Source organism: Homo sapiens, chromosome 4, assembly GCF_000001405.40.
Source record: "Homo sapiens chromosome 4, GRCh38.p14 Primary Assembly".
NCBI classification, from domain to species: Eukaryota; Metazoa; Chordata; class Mammalia; order Primates; family Hominidae; genus Homo; species Homo sapiens.
Window position 1 is genome coordinate 157,106,682 of NC_000004.12, and position 15,325 is coordinate 157,122,006.

Genomic DNA, 15,325 nt, shown 5'->3' on the forward strand with positions numbered 1-15,325 from the left:
CCTCTAGGTTCTCAGGCTTTCAATATCAAACTAAGAATTACACCATCACCTTCCCTAGTTCTGAGACTTTTGGACTTGGACTGAACCATGCTACTGGCATTGCAGGGTGTCCAACTTGCCGATAGCCTATCCTAAGACTTCTCAGCCTCTTTAATTGAGTCAGCCAATACCACTATTAAATCTCATCTTCTATATACTGCCTTTTTAAAAAACACCAATTAAAGGTTTGCGGCAACCTGCTTTGAGCTAGTGTGTTGGCATCATTTTTCCAACAGCTTGTGTTCCCCGTGTGTCTCTGTGTCATGTTTTGGTAATTCTCACAATATTTCAATCTTATGATTATTATTGTATCTGTTAGAGTGATTTGTGATCAATGAACTTTGGTGTTACTGTTGTAATTGTTTTGGGGTGCCACAAATCATGCCCACATAAGAGTGCAAATTTACTAAATGTGGTGTGTGAACAACTGGGAGTCTGTCTTTTCATCTCCCTCCCTCTCCTCAAGCCTTCTTATGCTCTGAGATACAACAACATTGAAATTAGGCCAATTAATATCTCTACAATTGTCTCTAAGTTTTCAGGTGAAAAGAAGGGCTGCATGTCTCTCACTTTAAACCAAAAGTTAGAAATGATTAAGCTTAATGAGGAAGGTATGTCAAAAGCCAAAACAGGCTGAAAGCTAGGTCTCTTTGTCAAACGGCCAGGTTGTGAATGCTAAGAAAAAGTTCTAGAAGGAAATTAAAAGTGCCATTCTCATAGCACATGAATGATAAGGAAGTGAAACAGTCTTATTGCTGAGCTGGAGAAAGGTTAAGTGGTCTAGATAGAAGACCAAATGACCTATGACATTCCCTTAAGCCAAAGTCTAATCCTAAGCAAGGCCCTAACTCTTCTTAATTCTATGAAGGCTAAGAGAAGTAAGGAAGCTGCAGAAGAAAATTTGGAAGCTAGCAGAGGTTGGTTCATGAGGTTGAAGGAAAGAAGCCATTTGCATAACACAAACGTGTGAGGTGGCACAGCAAGTATTGATGTTGAAGCCACAGCAAGTTATCCAGAAGATCTAGCTAAGATCTTTGATGAAGGTGAATATACGAAACAACAGATGTTCAATGTAGATTAAACAGCCTTATATTGGAAGAAGACACCATTATTCATAGCTAGAAAGAAGTCAATGCCCAGTCAAAGAACAGGCTAACACTCTTGTTAAGGGCTAATGCAACTGGTGACTTGAAGTTGAAGTCAATGCCCATTTACCATTTCAAAAATCCTAGGGCCCTTAAGAATTATGCAAAATCTACTCTCTTTGTGCTCTGGAAATGGAACAACAAAGACTGGGTAACAGCACATTTGTTTACAACATGATTTACTGAAGACTTTAAACCCACTATTGAGACCTACCACTCAGGAAAAAAGACTCATTTTCAAACATTACTGCTCATTGACAATGCACCTGGTCACCCAAGAGCTCTGACGGAGATGTATTATACAAGGAGTTGTTTTCATGCCTGCTAATACAGCATCCATTCTTCAGACCATGAATCAAGGAGCCATTTTGACATTCACGTTTTATTATCTAAGAAATACATTTACTAAGGCTATATCTATCATAGATAGTAATTCCCCTGATGGATCTGGGCCAAATACATTGAAAACCTTCTGGAAAGGATTCACTCTTCTAGATACCATTAAGAACATTTGTTATTTATGAAAGGAAGTCAAAATATCAACATTGACAGGAGTTTGGAAGAAGTTGATTATAACTTTTTTGGATGACTTTGAGTAGTTCAAAACTTCAGTGGAGGAATTAACTGCAGAGATGGTGGAAATAGCAAGAAAACTTAAATTAAAACTGGAACCTGAAAATGTGACTGAATTGTTGCAATTTCATGATAAAACTTGAACAGAAGATGCATTGATTCCTATGGATGAGCAAAGAATGTGGTTTCCTGAAATGGACTCTACTCAGATCTTCTGGTGAATATACTGAGAACAATGTCAAAATGACAACACAGGATTTTGATTATTACATGGACTTAGTTTATAAAGCAGCAGGAGTTTGAGAGGATTCACTCCAATTTTGAAAGATGTTCTGTAGATAAAAGGCTATCAAACAGCACTGCATGTTAAAGACACATCTGCCATACAAGGAAGAGTCCATTGATCTAGCAAACTTCACTTTTGTCTATTTTAAGAAATTGCCACAGCCACCCCAGCCTTCAGCAAGCACCACTTTGATCAGTCAGCAGTCATCAACATCAAGGCAAGACTCTTTTATCAGCAAAAAAGATGAAACCTTGTTTAAAGCTCAGATGATTGTTAGCATTTTTTAGTGATATTTTAAAATTAAGGTATGTTTATTATTTAATACATAATGCTATTATACATTTAGCAGACTACAGTTTAGTTTCTTATATGCACTGGGAAACCAAAACATTTGTATGACTAACTTTATGGCAATATTCACTTTATTGTGGTGGTTTGGAACTGATCTCTAAATATGTCTGAGGTATGGCTGTATTTCCTATTGGTTCTGTCTTTCTGGAGAAACTGGACTAATACAATTTGTGTGTATTACTTTAGTTTTATCTTTTTGGGGGCTTTCTGGGATTTCTGAATCTGAATGTTCATTTCCTTCCTCAGATTTGGGATGATTTTAGCCATTATTTCTTAGAATTCGTTTCCTAATTATTTCTCCCTTTTTACTTCTTCTGTAATTCCCATAATGCCTATCTTGGTCTGCTTGATGGAATCTGTAGGAAAAGCCTAAGTGTGTTTTTTACACTGTACTCTCCAGTAGAATACTTCTGACAACAGATGTGTGTGTGGCATTTTGCTTCAGATGCCAACCAGTCAGTTCTCTAGGGGATACCAATTGTTTGTCCTATAATTTATTTTTAAATTCTGTTTTCCTGGTGATAGTGTTGGATCACACAGCTCAAAGGCTCAGTCCAAGAAGACTGCCCCACACTTCAGATGCCAATAACAAGTCCCAGGTTGTGTCCTGTACTTCTGACTAACTGACTGTAAATCTGGATTCCCCTGATCATGTCCTTGGGTTTGATTAATATGCTAGAGCAGCTCACAGAGCTCAGGAAAACACTTCACTTCACTTATTTTTACCCATTTATTGTGAAGGAATTATACAAAGGATATAGGTGATCAGGCAACTGGAGAATATGCACAGAACGAGGCATGTGAGAAGGGGCATAAAGCTTCCGTGCCCTCTCTGGGTACACCATCCTTTACAATCCTCTATGTCTCCAGCTTTCTGGAAGCTCTCTAAACCCTGTGTTTTGGGTTTTTTATGGAGGCATCATCATAAAGCCATGATTGATGAAATCTTCAGCCATTGGTGATCAACTCAACCTTCAACCTTTCTCCCCTCCCTGAAGGTTGCGGGGTGGGAATAAGGCTGAAAGTCCCAACTCTTTAATCATGTTTTGGTCTTTCTGGTGACCAGCCCCCATCCTAAGGCTATTCTAGGGGCCATGAACTGCCAGTCATCTTATTAGCATACAGAAGACATTCATCACTCCAGAGTGTTTACAGGTTTTAGGAGCTCTGTTCTAGGAAGCAAGAATGAAGATCAAATATATATATATCTTATTATAAGTTACATTATCACAGTGTCTTATAAGACCCTTTTCTTCACTCTTTTGTTTTTTCTTTTTTTGCTCTGAATTATTTTAAATGACCTGTCTTTATGTTTGCTCATTCTTTCTTCTGCTTATTCTAATGTGCCACTGATTTTCTCTATTGAATTTTTTAGTTTATTATATTCTTCAGCTTCAAGGTTTCTACCTGCTTCACTTTAAAATTTTCTCTTTGTTGAAATTCATACTTTGTGTATTGTTCTCCTGAGCATGTTGAACATTTTATTATTTATAAAGATATGACTGTTTGTTTTAAATTTTCTGTCAAGTAATTCATATATTTCCATTCGGGTTGGTTTTTGGAGTTTTATTTTATTCCTTTGTTTGGATCATGTTTGCCTGTTTCTTTATTTTTCTTGAGTCTTTGTATTGTTATCTATGCAGCAGAAAAACCTCTACATCTCCCAGTTTCCACAGATTGATCGTGTGCTAGAGAAGACCTTCACCATTCAACCTGGCCAGTTTCTGTGTGTCTCTCAAACCTTCTTGGTAGTCTAAATCACTGCCTTTTTTAAAGTGGCTCCCAGGTGTCCAGAGTTTGTTAGGCTGTCTATCCTCCAAGAAAGGTGGGTAGAAGTAAACTCCTCTGGTAGCTCTTAGAGAAGTTGGAATGCCAGATCTATGATCCATCTCTTTTCCTTCCCCAAGAAGAATCTGGGCACTGGTGTTTTTTACGTGCTCACTCTGTGTTGAGCTCGGGTAGCATCTGTGATGAGTTCTGCACACTTGTTCAAAGCACCGCTTTGTTCTTTATAGCCTTCAGTGGTCTAGTGTATACTGGGCCCTATCAGTGCTCTGAGACAGATGAGAGAAAAGCCAGTCCCTTGAGTAGCACCAGAAAAAGTTGGGATGGCAGACATGTGGTTCAAGTGTTCTCAGGGAGAAGCTGGGAGCTAGGGTTTACTTCCGTTCCTTGCTGTGCACTGAGCTTTGGGGAGGAGCTGTGGCATGTCTTCATGCTAGTGCAAACTGTTACTTTTTTCTCTGTAGTCCTCAGGGGCCTAGTGTGCTAGTGTATGATGTGCTTTATCAGCTTTCCAAGACAGGAGAGATAGAAGACAGTCTCTCTGCTAGTATGTGCAAAAACTGAGATGCTAGGTGTATGGTCCAACTGCTTCACTCCAGAGGAAGAAGCTGTAAGCTGAGGACTCCCTCATGATTATATTATGCTGTGCTGGGGTTTTAGGGGTGGGGATTAGGGCTGGAGGGTGTCTTATTTTCCTACGAGTTCAGTGTGGCTGATTTCATACTCAACTGAGGTACAGAAGACTCTCAACTAGTTTTAGAATTTCTCACAAAGAAGATTGATCCATTTGTTGTTGAATTTTTATGTCCTTGAGGGGGAGTAAGAGTCCAGGGCTTCCTTTTTCACTATCTTGCTGACATCACTCTTAGGGAAACAGACTTTTCAATAGAGTCATATGCAGTCCCTCATTCATTTCTTCACCTACTACTTACTATACTATCCACTCCAATCTAGCCTCTTTCTCAACTGAAAAAAAGTTCTTTCTTTTGCTGAATCCCATGGAAAGCTTTCAGTCCTCATCTCAACCTCTCAGCAACTTTTGGCCCTGTTAGCCAACTCTTTCATGAAATATTCTTTTTTTTCCTTGAGTTCTGTTGGTGCCACACACTGCTGGATTTACCCCTTCTTCCTGGGCTATTTATTCTTTGAATTATTGGCTTATCTTTTCCTATCTGCTTATTAAATATTGCAATTCCTCACATTTCAATTCCATGTCTTTTTTTTTTTAACCATAAACTCTCTTTTCAAACAAGTGATTCTTCTGATAATTAAAATCATCTGAAGAGCTTTTTAAAAACCCTGATGCCCGGGCCACATCCAAAACTAATTAAATCTAGATATGGGTGATGGGATGAGGTATCAGTAATTTCTAGAATTCCTCAGCTGAATCCAATCTGTTTCCAACCTTGAGAATCCATAAACAAATTTATCTAAACTCACAGCTTTAAATACCATTTTTTTTATATCAGAATAAAGATCATGTATGTTTGATTCTCAAGTGCATAACCTGTACATAGCAAGTGCATGGCACATAGGAAATTCTCTGAAACTGTTAAATGAATTAAGGAATGACTAAAGTGAGAGAGAAATTTAGCATATTGGTGGTTGCATAACTGGTAAAGCTCCTTAAGGAAACTTAGTATTTAGTTGATGTTGTAGGTTGAATTCTCTTAGAGACAGAGACATTGAGATGAAAATTTGCATGAAAAAAGGGATTACTTTTGGGAACATGTCTTAAGAGGGAGTAACGCAGGCTTAAACACAGGAACAGTGGGGTTGCAACTGAGTGATCAGTCCATGCCATTGGGAACTCTGAAGATGGGATGGCCCTTCAGGGTTGTCTTAATTAGTAGAAAGGGACCCAGCCACCTTCATATACCCCTATCAAAGTCACTGGGTATGGGCTGCCTCTAGGACAAGACACCTTACTTCAGCCAAAGGCTATTCCAGAAGACACTCAGCTCTGAACTGTAGGCAGCCAACATTCCCAGGAGCAAGCTCATTCCTGGAGGGGTGACCTTGATGGTGGGGCACTGCAGCATCCACCATAGGTAGAATCAGATTGTCAAATGAATGAGCTCTGAGACCTCACCTAATTTAACCTTTGGTTTAAAGGTGAGTATACTGAAGCTCACAGAGGGTAAGTGCTTGGCCCAATATCATGTGGGAAGCTTACAGTCCATCTGAGGGTTAGAACACTAGTCTCTTGACTCTCAGAGAAGTGTTTTTCAATTATACCCACATTTTACTCAAATTTAGTGTGTGTGTATATGTGTGTGTGTGTAATTTTTCATATAGATATTTTCGTTGGGCCAGGAGGGAAATATTTTAAGTTTTTGCTGTATATGGAAAATTGAGAAAAGCTAAGTATCATCGCAGTTGGTTGCAGAGTTAGAAGTCGTAACTATGGATTTGTACTTGCTGGGCCAGGATGTAATTCTATTCTGTAGAGTATGGAAAGTAATGGCACAGTAAACATTGTGTTTGGATTGAGGTTTAACTCTTTATGTCAAAGAGGTTTGGAGATCATTAGCAAACCCATTAGAATTAGTGAGAATGTATAATGTTTTACAGTTGAGCAATATACGGTATAAATAGAAGATACTTCTACATGGTTGTCATAGAATGAGTAATCTCACATGAGATATGAAGTTAAAAGTGACCAACAGATAGCCTTCAATGAGATTTGCAAATTGCTGGTATTAAAAATCTAGTATCTCTCCAGATAGTTGCTTCTACTTTATGCAAAATATTTTTTCTTTGAGCCATGGATGATGTAATTGTATAATTGGAGCTAGAGAAGATTTGAAAATGTTTCCACAGGCTACAACAGTTCCTGAAACCCAGGTGAGGGGATAAATAACATGAATGTTGTGGAACACTCTTCTTAATTATGACTCTTGGCCCATAATAACATGACAGACTTTGCCACACACATACACACACTCATAAACACATTCTTTTCAAATAAGTTTAAACTAAACTAATCATGTAAAAGGTATCACTCACTGTCTGCATTCATAAAACTGTTTACAGTTTAATCTGTGAAAACAGAATGGAAAATAAATCCAGAAGCTGTCAAGAGAAGTGATAGTAAATTATAGGATAAGTAGGAAAATACAAAAATAAAAAATACTCCACAATAATTACACAGTTATATGTATTCATGAATAACCACCAATTTAACTTATTAGCTGAATACATGAAGTATTTGTCTGTCTTTGTATGTCTATTTATCTGATTATCTAAAAATTATTGCATACAGATGGAAATGTAATGCTGAACTTTTAATACCTTTATATTTACAGACCAGTAGCAGTGTTTTTTTCATAAGCCCCAGCCTTAACATGTGATCAAGGTTTCACTTCCATGTGATTATTATATACATAGTTTGCTTCCAGTTAAGGCTGTGGATTTTGGAAGGAGAGAGTGCAATTGGCTCTCCTGACTCAGTGTCTTTCCTGGTCTCTCTCTCTCTTTCTTTTTTTTTTTTCAAATAAACATTTTATTTTAGAATAGCTTTATAGAGTTATAGAAAAATTTCCAAGGTAGTACAGAGAGTTCCCAAATACCCTGCACCTAATTTTCTCTATTTTTATTTTTCTTTAGTATGGTGCTTTTATTTATTTTTTACAATTAAAGAGCTAATATTAATAGAATATTAATAAGTCAAGGCCATTCTTTATTCAGACCTCTTTGGTCTTTACCTTAAGTCGTTTTCTGTCACAGGATCCCTTCCAGGATACTATGTTACATAGTTGTCATGCCTTCTTGTGCTTCTCTTGGCCGTGACAGTCACTCACACATTACTTACTTTTGATGACTGTGAGAGTTTAGTAAAGTATCTGTCAAATATTTTGTGGATGTCCTTCAGATGGGATTTATCGGATGTGTTTCCCATGACTAGACTAGGTTATGTGGTTTTTGAGAGGAAGACCCGCGGGTTAAAATGTGATTCTTATCACATCATATCAAGGGTCCATATTATCAACATGACTTATCACGGTTGAGGTTAACTTGATCACCTGCTGAGGAGAGTGCCCGTGGAGTTTCTCTGCCATAAAGTTACTCTTTCCGCACCCCCCTTTGCAGACTGAACTCTTTGGAAGGGAGTCACTATGCACAGCTCACACTAAGGAGTGGGGAGTTATTTTCCACCAATTAGAAAGCAGAAGATCTACACCAATTATTTGGAATTCTTCATGAGTGATTTGTCTATATTTCCCCATTTATTCAATTCTTATTTTTATCTGTATGGACTCTGGAATTTTTATTTTGTACTATAATACAATACTACTTTATTTTGTTGCTCAAATCATTGCAGCTTTGGCCATTGGGAACCCTCTCAGTTTGTTCCGGTGTCCTTCCATTGACATATTTCCATTATGGTGTTTTTTTTTTTTTTTTTTCCTGAACACTTCTTTAATTTCTGTTACTGTAAGATACCTGCTCTTTAAAAAAAAATTGTCTTCTCATTTCACTTTATATGAGGTTACCAGCTTTAAAATAATGACTAATAACATCACGGTTGCCACTATTTATAGTTATATTGTTTTCTTTGATATAATTCCTTTCTGAGTCCTTTTAGTGTAGTATTCAGAAAGGGAATCTTCCATCTAAAACCTCCACCAACAATAATACCTTATGTTTTCTTGTATCTTGCTGTGTCTGAAAAGCAGAATTAACAGTAATCAAAACATCCCACAGAGTCAGAATTGCTTGCTGTAGAAGGGAGGATGATTGATCTGTTTCCATGAAGAATTTCTTAACTTGTGGTCTACTCGTCCAGGAACCCTCAGAAACACAAATTTTGTATACCCTTTTTGGGGAAGTGTAGAGTTTTTATCAGATTTTCAGAGACATCTGTTATCTAACAAAGAGGCAAAGAATCACTGCCTTAGAGCATGAGAAATGATACAACCAACACATATTACATCCTCATTCTACCCTTGTGTCTGTGGCTTTGTATTTGGTTAAGTTCATGTCCAGCTGAAAGCTGCGCAGCCCCACACTTACTACATTCAGGTCTGAGACGGCCTCTGACAATTGTCATTGCATTTATTGCTCTATGGAGAAATAAAACAATTCCTTTAGACTCAGATTTCTAGTTTTAGCAAGAAGATTAATACAATATACTCATCCACACCTGTTTTGAAATGAAACTGTGCACTGTGGTCACTGAAGGGTCATGTAAAAAAAAAGAATGTTCTACAGTTAATAGAAAACTGAGCTTCCTCCTTTGGAAATAAATTTCTGGATTTTTCCTTTAGTGCTGGAAAATATTACATCATACAGCTATACAGTCTGACACATTCCTTGCATAACTTTACATATTAGTAATGACATTGGTTCAAGTTTAGGCAAGTGAACAAAAGATGACTGGTTGTAAAAGGCTTTTGATATAAAACTCTATTTTCTCTAGTCATTTGATCACTTTGCCCAAGTAGAATAAGTTATTTTCTTAAATTAATGTCATATTTCCAAGAAATAAATCCTGCTTTTTAATATATTGGAATTGTTGATAGATTTCTTAAAATAAAACAAAATAGCATAGTCAAATGCATAAAACATTGGACTGAGATTCAGAATATGAAGACTTTAATAACAAAGCAGGCATTAAGTGTGTGATCTAATTTAAATCACTTAACTCTCCTTTTTCATGTTTATTTTGTGTTAAGTAATACTAACTTACTTTCTAAATTATAAGGAGATATATAGTAACATACAGACAAGGGAAAATATGTTACATGCAAATTGTTTTAACTCTTTAAAACAAAGTGACTGTATCCATTTAATCTCTTATATTTTAGTCTGTAGAGATAATTTTAATGTTATTTTAGTATTGATAAGCTAAAAAATATGATTTTAACTTTTTTTAGGTGGGAAAAACCCTGAGTTCATGCATATGAATATAAACTACATGGAATTTTATTTAAATTTTAAAACATCTCTGTATTTCTAATACAAATAAATGTGAATTGTTGATTAAACATTTATGCCAAGTTACCTGCAGCTGAGACATGAAAATATATATTGACACAAATAAGAATAGAAGAAAAGGGGCCATATGATATTTGGTATATTCCCTGGGTTGTTTTTTTGTTGTTGTTTGTTTGCTTGTTTGATTTTCAAAAGATTTTTGTCAAACAATGTTGAGTTTTTGTTGCTAACGAACAAAAATTTGTTTTTAACAGTGGAGAGTTGAAAAACATTTGGAGATGGTAGAAGAGTGAACTGATAGAAAGGGCCAATTTATATTTTCAGTACTAATGATTTTTAACAATGCTTAGTAAAATGAATAGAACTCAAGGTAAAATACATATGCCCTAAAGCAATATGTGTATGGATGGTAATAAGAAGATAGATAATATTTCACTTACACTATGGCAGGCTTACCATGGAGCAGGTTTCATTCTTGGCTCTACCACCTTAGAAAAATCTCTTAACCCTGCTGTCTTAGTTTCTTCATACACCATGTACTCTACAGGTTCATTTACTTACCTCTTACTCTTCTACCAATGTTTTTCTACCATTATCTCCCTCAAAATAACAGCTTTCTGTGTGGCTAATATCTCTTCTGTTTAATCACGTGAACATGACTATCAAATGAAAGAATGTGATGGACATAATGGTTGATTCTCCAATATTCATTCCGCACCAGACTATTGATCTGAGCCAATCATGAATGTTTCTTCCTCCTTGCTAGTAGTTCAGCAATGGTCAATGCTGGGAAGATTCTGAGGGTGGGGGAAGTCATTACTCCTAAGAGAGTGCCACAGGACAAAATGTTCTTCTTCCTCTGGAAATAACGAGTGGAACTGCTTACCCCTTACAGCACAGGCAACATGAGGCTGAAATATACCTAGAAGAGATGGCAGATTGGAAGTACTTGAACCAATGTGTATTTAATACTATAAAAACAGTAGGGAACTACAGATATATAGAAGCCATGAATCCCTCAATAATCATACTGTTTTCATTTTGTCTAGTTGGTAATATACTCGTAGATAAGAAAAGAAAAGCTACAAAATCATTGCCAAACAATATATTTATTAGTTCATGTTTATTAGAGTAAGGTTGCATGGTTGATGCAAGATTTTACAAAGAAGATGAGGTTTAAAAGGACAGGTTTGGTTTAGATTAGTACAATAAAGAATGGAAGTTACAATATTCCAGGAAGAGAGACTGATTCTGTGGAAGAAGGACAAAATTTGGTAGTGAGATAAAGGGCTAAAAATGAGTTTGACTGACACAGCCTACAGCTAGAAGCAGAAAAATCAGCTGGAAAGTTCTAAACTACAAAATTTAGTGTTAATTGTCTTCATGTTGTCTTTTCATTGTTTAGAAGGAATGTACTTGTAAAAGATTTTATATGAAGAGACACAATAACAGCAGTCCTGAATTGATCCAATACAAGTGTATTTTGTAATCAATCAATTCTTTTACTTCCTTTGAATGAGAAAACTTGTAGATAGGTTTGAACGCTAATTTGCATCCTAATATCCAATTTTCCCACGTGCGCTCATTCTCTTTAGAGTTTTCCATCTTTTGTTAAAGGATGACAACTGGCTGTAAGGAAGTTATAGTTTTACCTGCAATTAATTGGAAAATCTAATTACCAGCCCTCAAGTTTATGAAGCTGTGATATTGGAGCCAATAAAGCCACAAGAAGCAATTTTTAAAAATCCGTATGATCTATGCACTTTTGGGAGGTCTAACTGATTGATTTTCATCTTTTAAAATGCTTTGCACTCTGACTGAATTTCTATTTGAAAGGGTTGTCTATATCAATTCATAGTATTATTAAATTATGTCATACATTTTTTTCTGTTATATCTCACCTACAATGGTTGCCTCTTATCGGCAGATTGTATGAAAATAAACTCAGAAATGCCTAATAGATAAAGACTTTTGATTTCAATACAAAGCCAAGCCTGTTGCATCTAAGTTTCCTTCATATAAATTAATATAATTTATGAAACTGAGACTTTTTACCATATCAACACAGAAAAGGCTGTGCTAGGTGCTTCAAGTAGAGTTTTGCTCTTCCTTGTGATTGTCATGGATTTTGTGTGTGTGTGTAGGTAATGGGAAAAATTATTATGCATAAGACTTTATGAGGGGTAAAATAAACCAAACTCAAACAAAAACAACAAAACATTTTCCTTGGCTTCCAAGAAAGTGCCTTTCTAAAAAAGGGCTCTTAAGCAACCACCAATTTTGTCACTTATCATTATTCAAAGTTAATTAAAATAGCAAAACAATGCAGATTTTCCTCTTCTTAATAAAGAGTTCATGACAAATATATATAGAAAAGCAATAGGTAGTTATCTCTTATAGTATAGAGTATTTTACTTGTTTCATTTATCTGATAATAGTGAAAAGTATTTTACCAATTCCCTTCTGCCTCCCAAGCTGCCATATTTTACTGAGTGAGGAAAATGTTCACTGTATTTCTTGGGGAATATCATTTTATGAACATCAGCATGATTGCCTTATGAATTCTTAGACCATCTCTCTGGTCAGATTGTTTTTGTGTTGGCAGGCTAATATTACACATTGTTCAAAAAATGTTCTTTGTTGTTTTTTTCTCATTGTGTGCACTCCCTTTGTACTTGCCTAGATTTCAATGGCAGGTTGCTTCAGAACAAGTAACCTGTCTGCTTAATTTTACTTTATAGAAAGTAACATGGAGTATTTAGAGCAATGTTTCATACATTTAGTAAAGTTAATTGTTAAAATATATATATTTTTAATAACAATGTCTTTTGGGTTTTTAACAATATTTACTAGTCTCTATTTCTATTTGAAAACCACAATGAGATACCATCTCACACCAGTTAGAATGGCAATCATTAAAAAGTCAGGAAACAACAGGTGCTGGAGAGGATGTGGAGAAATAGGAACACTTTTACACTGTTGGGGGACTGTAAACTAGTTCAACCCTTGTGGAAGTCAGTGTGGCGATTCCTCAGGGATCTAGAACTAGAAATGCCATTTGACCCAGCCATCCCATTACTGGGTATATACACAAAGAACTATAAATCATGCTGCTATAAAGACACATGCACACATATGTGTATTGCGGCACTATTCACAATAGCAAAGACTTGGAACCAACCCAAATGTCCAACAATGATAGGCTGGATTAAGAAAATGTGGCACATATACACCATGGAATGCTATGCAGCCATAAAAAATGGTGAGTTCATGTCCTTTGTAGGGACATGGATGAAACTGGAAATCATCATTCTCAGTAAACTGTCGCAAGAACAAAAAACCAAACACTGCGTGTTCTCATTCATAGGTGGGAATTGAACAATGAGAACATATGGACACAGGAAGGGGAACATCACATTCTGGGGACTGTTGTGGGGTGGGGGGAGGGGGGTGGGATAGCTTTAGGAGATATACCTAATGCTAAATGACAAGTTAATGGGTGCAGCACACCAGCATGGCACATGTATACATATGTAACTAACCTGCACATTGTGCACACATACCCTAAAACTTAAAATATAATAATAATAAAATAAAATAAAATAATAAAATAAAATAAATAAAAAAAAGAAGAAAAAGCCATACTATAGTTGTGGATTTGTCTCAAAAAGGCAGTCTTTCCTCCCAATGAGAATTACCCATTTCTGTTGTTTGCTATTTATAACTACTTATCAGGATTTTTCTCTCTCTTATAGTCAGCAGTCAGCAGAGGACCTTGCCCGAGTACCTGCCAACTCCACTAGCAATATCTTGAACAGGTTATTGGTCAGTTATGATCCCAGGATAAGACCAAACTTCAAAGGTTTGTCTCCCCCATATAAATGTTCATTTTTATTGTTTAAAAATTAATTTTATATGTTTAGAGATTTGTGATATTTTATATGTATATGCTTTGTGATATTCAAAACAGTAAGATTTCAAAGTGATATATAACAAAAATGTCCTTAAGTTCAGAACAATTCAATGCCTAAAATATTCAGATGAGTAAAATATGAATTCTAATTGTTTTATAGGTTACCTGTTTTTAAAAATTCAAAAAAGGATATACTGTGAATTAATAGGCCAACATCCGCAATGGGTTTTCTAAGTACTATTCTTAACCTTAGTGGTTTAAAATTTAGGCTCTGGAAATAGACCTGGCTTTCATTCACAGACACCAGAGTTATAATTTGCAGAATGATGATTTTCTCATTTAGGGAAAGAGAACAGTTCTGATGTATATTTAGAGTCTTTCTTACTTTTTGTTATTATTTCACATTAATAGAAAATTCTCTCTATTCTTTTGCTGAAAAAACAATTGGCCGTATGATTTTTAAAAGCATGTTAGCTTTGTGAATAAAAGTGATTACGTAGTCCACAACATAGATTATTTTTATTCCAATTAGATATTACCATTTATCACACCTTTTAAAAACCAAAACTATGCTTACAATAAAATAAGCCATGAGCAGATTGTGCAGTTGTAGAGACCTTTTTTGTACTTTTGATGAATTAGAAAAAAGCTGTATGAAAAACATCTCCTCTGGAAAACTATAATCCTTGTTGCTGGTTAAGGACAGGTATTAATGTAGATCAGATTAACATTATAAGGCTTGATTTTTTTTTTTTTTGCCTTTAGAAAAAAAAAATAGGTCTGCAGCTGCTTCTAGTCAACTGAAGTTATACAACTATGTTGTAAAAATGGGTTTTTGTTCATTACCAGGACCTATTCAGTTACTTTCAACAACAGCCATGGTCTGGGTTGTCACATGTCTACCATATATTGATTCACCACCTGTTTTTCATCAGTTAGTGGTTATGTGGCTAAAAGGCTAAATTCACATTTTCCCTTTGTTAGCACAACGAGCAGCCACAATGAGATGAAAAAAAATAGAAAGAAATTTGCAACATTATACCTTAGTTCTCACTCCGTGAACTTTCAAATTATTTTTCAAAAGGTCAGGCAAAAATCTTTATAATGACTCTGCTATGTGTCCAATTAGCTTTGCATTTTCATGAATTAAAAATTAAAATAATAATTACAAGTAAAATTTATTGAATACTGTTTTACCTATTAAAGTAAGAATTTGAACTGATTAGAAAAATGCAAAAAAATGAAACCCTGTTTTCAAAATGATTCTTTAAGAATAATTTGTAGTTCCTTAAA

General features: G+C 35.6%; 1 protein-coding gene across 6 annotated transcripts in view; it reads left to right on the top strand.

Annotated features, from left to right (window-relative positions):
- The window catches only part of GLRB (glycine receptor beta), a 95,941-nt gene that overhangs the window by 30,532 nt on the left and 50,084 nt on the right, over positions 1–15,325 (top strand). For all 6 annotated transcript variants that reach the window (NM_001440545.1, NM_000824.5, NM_001166061.2 and 3 more), the window contains one exon: positions 13,875–13,981. Coding sequence is in view for 5 of the 6 variants with exons in the window: in NM_000824.5 (NP_000815.1) it covers positions 13,875–13,981 (107 nt within the window). In the remaining variant the exon portion in view is untranslated. The remainder of the gene's footprint in view (positions 1–13,874; positions 13,982–15,325) is intronic.